Source organism: Homo sapiens, chromosome 7, assembly GCF_000001405.40.
Source record: "Homo sapiens chromosome 7, GRCh38.p14 Primary Assembly".
Taxonomy (NCBI): Eukaryota; Metazoa; Chordata; class Mammalia; order Primates; family Hominidae; genus Homo; species Homo sapiens.
In genome coordinates this window covers 145,438,148-145,444,147 of record NC_000007.14, presented here as the reverse complement: position 1 = coordinate 145,444,147, position 6,000 = coordinate 145,438,148, and the positions used below count along the sequence as shown (strand labels likewise).

Sequence of the window (6,000 nt, the reverse complement as noted above, 5' to 3'; positions counted from 1 at the left end):
CTAGTCCCCTTCTGCCATGTAAGGACACAGTGAGAATGTGCCATCTATGAAAAAGCGTGCTCTCACGAGACAATGAGTCTGCTAGCACTTTTATTTTGGACTTGCCACCTCCAAAGTGTGAGAAATAGATTTATGTTCTTTATTAGCCACCCAGTGCAGGGTATTTTGTAATAGCCAGGCTGCAGTAAGACACACATACCCTCTGTATTATAGATCAACTTTTAACTTGGGTCACTATTTTCTGTAACTTCAATGACTACCAGAAAACCTCTTCAGAGCCCTGCATTGAGGATTACTGTATTTATTATTGCAATAAAAATAACTACTATTTATTAAACACCTAACTATTCCAGGTATTTTGCTGAGTATTTTATATTATCCCATTTAATACTCAAAATTAGTGTATAAAGGGTACTATTAGCCCCACTTTGCAGCCGAGAAAATCAAGACATAAAGAGGTTTATTTTTCCCAGTGTCACAATGTAGAGCAGAGATTTCAGTGAAAAACTGTCTAATCCTAAATCCCATCTTTGTTAAACATTATCTGTTACTCTTTTTCCTCTGCTAACTGGATTCATGGTTAGTAGAACTGGATCCATTATTCCGCTTCCTCTGCTAAGTAGACTCATGGTGAGTTTGCCAAAACTGCTATGCTACATAAACCCGAATAACTTTGACAGCCTTTTGGGACTACATAAACGCATTCAGCCAGTGTGTTTAGTCTAGATAAGGTAAACAGAAATGAGAGGCCTGTACCTATGGAGAGTAGGGGATTTTGCTTTTGGAGGAACCAGGAGGGCCTTGTTGAACATAACAAGTGAGTTTATAAATGAAAGGCAGCTTTATGCAGCAAATATGTGTATTCTTTCAATTTCTCTTTTACTTAATCAAATCTCATTGTAAAGATAATTACTGGCTTTTTCCTTACATTTAGAAAAGTTCCAGCTCTAGACACAGTTCAAAGAGATCTATCAGGCACGTGGTTTCTCTGATTAAGATTTTTTTCAATTAAAATAAGGAGGTAAGCACTTGTCAGTTTTTTGAAATCCCTCTCTAAATTTGGTAACCTTTGAATTAAATTTTTCCATCATCCCAATAAGAGCTAAAACTACTTAACATTTTATAAAACCTTAGAAAATTATTGAGATTAGTTTTATTAATAAGATGCAATAATTAATTTCAAACCAGTTGCATTTGGTTTAGATCAGACATTTGGAATTCTTCATTCTTATCAGTTTTGAAATTTGTTACAGGTGCTAGGAATACAAGGTCTCAATAGTTCTAATTTTGGAACCAATTTTCAGAGACTAGGACACTTCCGTAGGTGAAGGGTATGGCATATGGCAGATATCAAGCAATTCTCCTGCCTCAGACTCCTGAGTAACTGGGATTATAGGCGCACACCACCATGCCCAGCTAATTTTTGTATTTTGCGTAGAGGTGGGGTTTCACCATGTTGGCCAGGCTGGTCTCGAACTCCTGACCTCAAATGATCTACCCGCCTCAGCCTCCCAAGGTGCTGGGATTACAGGCGTGAGTCACTGCACAGGCCTGATTTTTTTTTAAAAATAACAAGAGAACCATTATATCGGTAGTTAGCTAAATGCAATCCCAATTAAGCCACTCATATATCCATATGTGTAGCCATCTTCCTTCTGATATCAACTAAAAATAAAATCACAGCCCTAATCGCACACAAGATATACCAATTTTGTTTTCATTTTTTTGATCAAGTTCCTTTTAGGACTTTGGTATATGCTGGATGTGTGTTTGTTTAATTAACAAATATATATTTTTCACATTTATATATATAGGTATAAATATATCCTTATGATGGAAACATCCATGTGAATTAATTATAGATATTTATTCTCATACATAAACACATTACATATAAATATAAAAAAATTCTAATTTTTCCAGATGTTTGAACCATGCTGATTACTGAAAAAACTTAAATATCAAAATCTAATTTTATTCTTAGCTACTTTGATCCACATGTGCAGGATTTGCTCAGTTAAAATAACGATAGAAAACTAAAGAGAATGTGACAAATTACATATCCCTATGACTTTTTCATTAATAAGTAAAACAGTCCAAAAAGTCCAATTACTTATTTAACTGTTTATGTACCAGTGATCTAAAGTGAAATTATAAAATGTTTTACTTTTATCTAATTATATAGTATATACATAATTCTTCATTCTCAGACCTCAATCTGAAAAGCTGTAAAAACTGATATTTTCTCACCTAAATCTAGTGCTCAAACTCATTTAGTGATAAATCCCATTCTCAGCTGCTGCATTATCACTTAAGAATCATAAACTTAACCCATCATCAAATGCCCAAATACAACCTGCTGGCAATGCTAATATCATTATGATGTATCCACCTATTCAAGACTCAGCGGCAACCAAATGCTGTAATATAGAGAGATATTTGGCTTACATTCGAACTTTACTAGGTCGAATTTTAACAAAATATTTTTCATAGAAATAAGAAGTACTAGAATGTGGATAGTCTTTATTTTCCCTGTATTTCATGTACAAGTGTTTTACTATAAAAATAAACTCCTACAGTATTCCTTTATCTAGCCAAACATCATCATAAGTTGCACTGCAGAAATACTAATATGTTTGACTACAGGGTTTCCCCAGAGTTTTTGTGTTCTTACATAATTTCCGGCACATGCATGTATTACTTCCTGAAATTTGAAAAGAAAAATCCAAATTTTTAAATATATAAGTATTTGGGATTAAAAAATTAGACACCCTAAATTATTTTCATCTATACATCTATACTAGAATATCTCCTCTTGAACTAGGAGTAACATATATATGTACATACATGTACATATGTACATATATATGTATATGTATCATTGTTCAGTATAAATAAACTCTACTTGGTGTCCATTCACCCTGTTGACAGCATGACTGGTGGCAAAAATTTCCAGCCTTGTTATCAAAAATTCTTTAATGCTAATTTTTTTTTATTTCTAAGGGCATATTTAGAGGTTGCTATAGATTTGATACTGTTCTAAGTCACCTATGAGATAAAACCTAAACACGACACTGATTGATGATCCTGTCCCATTTCATTGACTCTCCATGGCATAACCTCACATGTCCAACTACTGAGGCTCTCCATTTTCACTCACAAGTGTCTGTCAAGTGTTTTTTCTGAACAGCACCTTCAGTGATTGGGAATGTGTGACATTATCTCCAGGTCCTTAGGAATGGAAAACATCCTACTTCATTGAAAGCAGATTTTTCTGGCTTCCTGCCCCATCTCAAACCTTAAGAAATCCATTATAATCACCATCATTATCATCCTTTATAAAGCCTCTCATCTTAACTATGGTGCAACTCAACATAACCAAAGTAGAAATGAGAAGACTTTCAATAAACTGTTATTAATTCCTCTATTAAATGAATTGATATTTAGTTTGACCATTGACTATTCGCATTATCTCATTAGTCCCTCACAACAATGCTGTGAGGTCAGGAGGTCAAGTATGACTCCAGGTAAGTCCAAATAAAGTACACTCTGCTTGTCTTTCTTTTTTTCACCAGCTGAAAGAACATCTGGGGTTCATATGATTCTTTCTCTGGTTTAGCTGGAGTTTGTTGTTAACAACAATCTAAATTAATCAGATTTCTCTTACCTGTTATTTTATAACTACGTTTTCTTAAAAACATATCCCTGTGTGTAGAACTAATATATCCATATTTAGCAATACTGTATATATATATGAATAATTTTCCCATATGAGGCTCTGTTGTATATAAAATTCTAATTTAAATAGCTCTCAAAATTGTTCTTCATCATAACCAAAATTTGAATAGCTTATTTTTCAAATTGATTTTATTCTGAAAACAGATAAACCATTTACCGGACTAAAATTTTTAACCAACAATGCAATTTGAAAAGTGCTTTGCAAAGAAGCAGTCTATATACATTATCATATTTTAATCCTCATAACACCCCCTTGCAGGAGCTATTATTATTCCCGTTTTAATAAAGAAATAATGGAGGACAATAGTAAAATACCCCAAAACTTAGCATTTTAAAACAACAAACATTTATCATCTTACACTGTTTCCAAAGGTCATGAGCATGCATATGGTTTTGATGGGCAGGCCTAGCTCTGAGTCTCTCATGAAGCTGCAGTCAAGCTGTCTGCAGTCTCCTCAAGGCTCAATCAGGGCAGGAGGACAGTTTCTAATGTCATTCACATAGTTTTTTGTAGAATTCATTTCCCCATTGACGTTTGGGCCACAGAGGTCTATCCACAGGCTTCCTAAACATTCTCACAACATGCCATCTGGCTTCCTCAGAGTGAATAATACCAAGATGGAAGCACAGTTTTTAATAACCCAATCTTGTCAGTGACATACCGTCACTTCTGCCACTACCCTATTTGTTTTTAAGTAAGCTGCTAGGTCCAGCGCCTACTCAAAAGGAGGGTATAATACAAGGGCATGATTACCAGTAAGAGGGGGTCATTGGGGGCCAACTTCAAGGCTGTATGCCACAGATGGCAATGTGGAGAGGCACACCTGAAGACTGGAGAGACTGCAGTGGCTTCTGGGAAAGCTCAAAATCCTCAAGCCAAGTATACATTTAAACCCAGCATTTCCCTGAGTTCAAAGTGAAGAATTCTACTATGTGGAAGATTGTTCTGTGATATCCACAACTAATATGACTTTGAAAACAAAAATCAATGGTTAAATAAGAGAATAGAAAATCGCATTTAGATTTTTTGCAAGGTGGCTTTTCCAACTCCAGAATCCTAAAGCAGACTTATTGTCCCCAAAAGAAAGCAGAAAAAAAAAGAAGAAAATATTGACCCATCACACACGTACTATGCTGGGAGAACTGGTTCAAATCAATCTCAAAAAAGAGATTTCCTGGAGAACCATCTGTGTAACTTAACAGAAGCAGATGTTTTTATTCCCAGTCTATTTCCCTTTTATACTGTGTTTCACCAGCTTAGAATTTGCATCATCATGAAATATGTCTTCCACAGATATTCATAACTTTAGAATACATTGATTCTAAGCAATATTTTTATATTATTAAAATTCAAGAAAATCTGCATGCCAAACAGGCAGTATTAGTTCTATTAAGTTTATAAGATAGTTTCTGTGCTCAATTTTAATGAGGAGTATGACTATTCAGATTTTCTTGACTACTCCTGGTTCTCTTCTCCAACTTGAAGATGCAGTATTTTTTAAAGCCATGATAATAAAGCCACTAACATCTCTTATTGGCACCTAATTATGAATGAATAATTGTAATTTACAAATAGTCTAAAATATAATCTAACCAATAGTTTCAATCTCCTCAATGACAAGGTTTTTCCCAGAGCAGTTATTACCACTGTGCACTCAGAGGTAGAGGCATTATCTAGTTATTGTCTGGTAAATGAGGTAATATTTTATTACCTGAAATGACAGGTAATACATCCTCAGGTTGATCCTGTAGAATTTTGAAATGCAGATGCACCTTATTATCCAAAATTCTCTGAGATCAAACCGTGCCACCTAATAATTTTTACAAGATGACCGACTCTTTCTACTTTAAAAAATGAAATAATTACTAGATACTGAGCAGTGACTACTAATCTACATGAGTTCAGCACATTTCAGATGAAGACATTAAAACTCAGAGAGAATAAACCTACCTAAGGCCATTTAGCTAAGTGATAAAATAGCCCAGGACCTGAGCCAAATCTGCCTGGCCCCAAACCCCAAGTCATTCCATCACGCCACAATATCTCCCAAAACAAGAGACGTTCCAGAGATAGACAAAATATATTCATTGTAATCTATTTGCAAGTATGTGTGTATATATATATATATATATATATGCTTTAGAAATACACACACACATATATATACACACACATATATATATCTTATACATATATATGTATAAGATTATACACATATGTGTGTGTGTGTATTTCTAAAGCGTGGTATACCTATTTCTATT

General features: G+C 34.4%; 1 annotated feature.

Annotated features, from left to right (window-relative positions):
* Nucleotides 585-785: a silencer, noted in NCBI's record as "peak6815 fragment used in MPRA reporter construct". NCBI's record gives its function as "represses an SCP1 promoter by STARR-seq MPRAs in K562 erythroleukemia cells {active_cell/tissue: K562}" and the evidence as "EXISTENCE:reporter gene assay evidence [ECO:0000049][PMID:32103011]".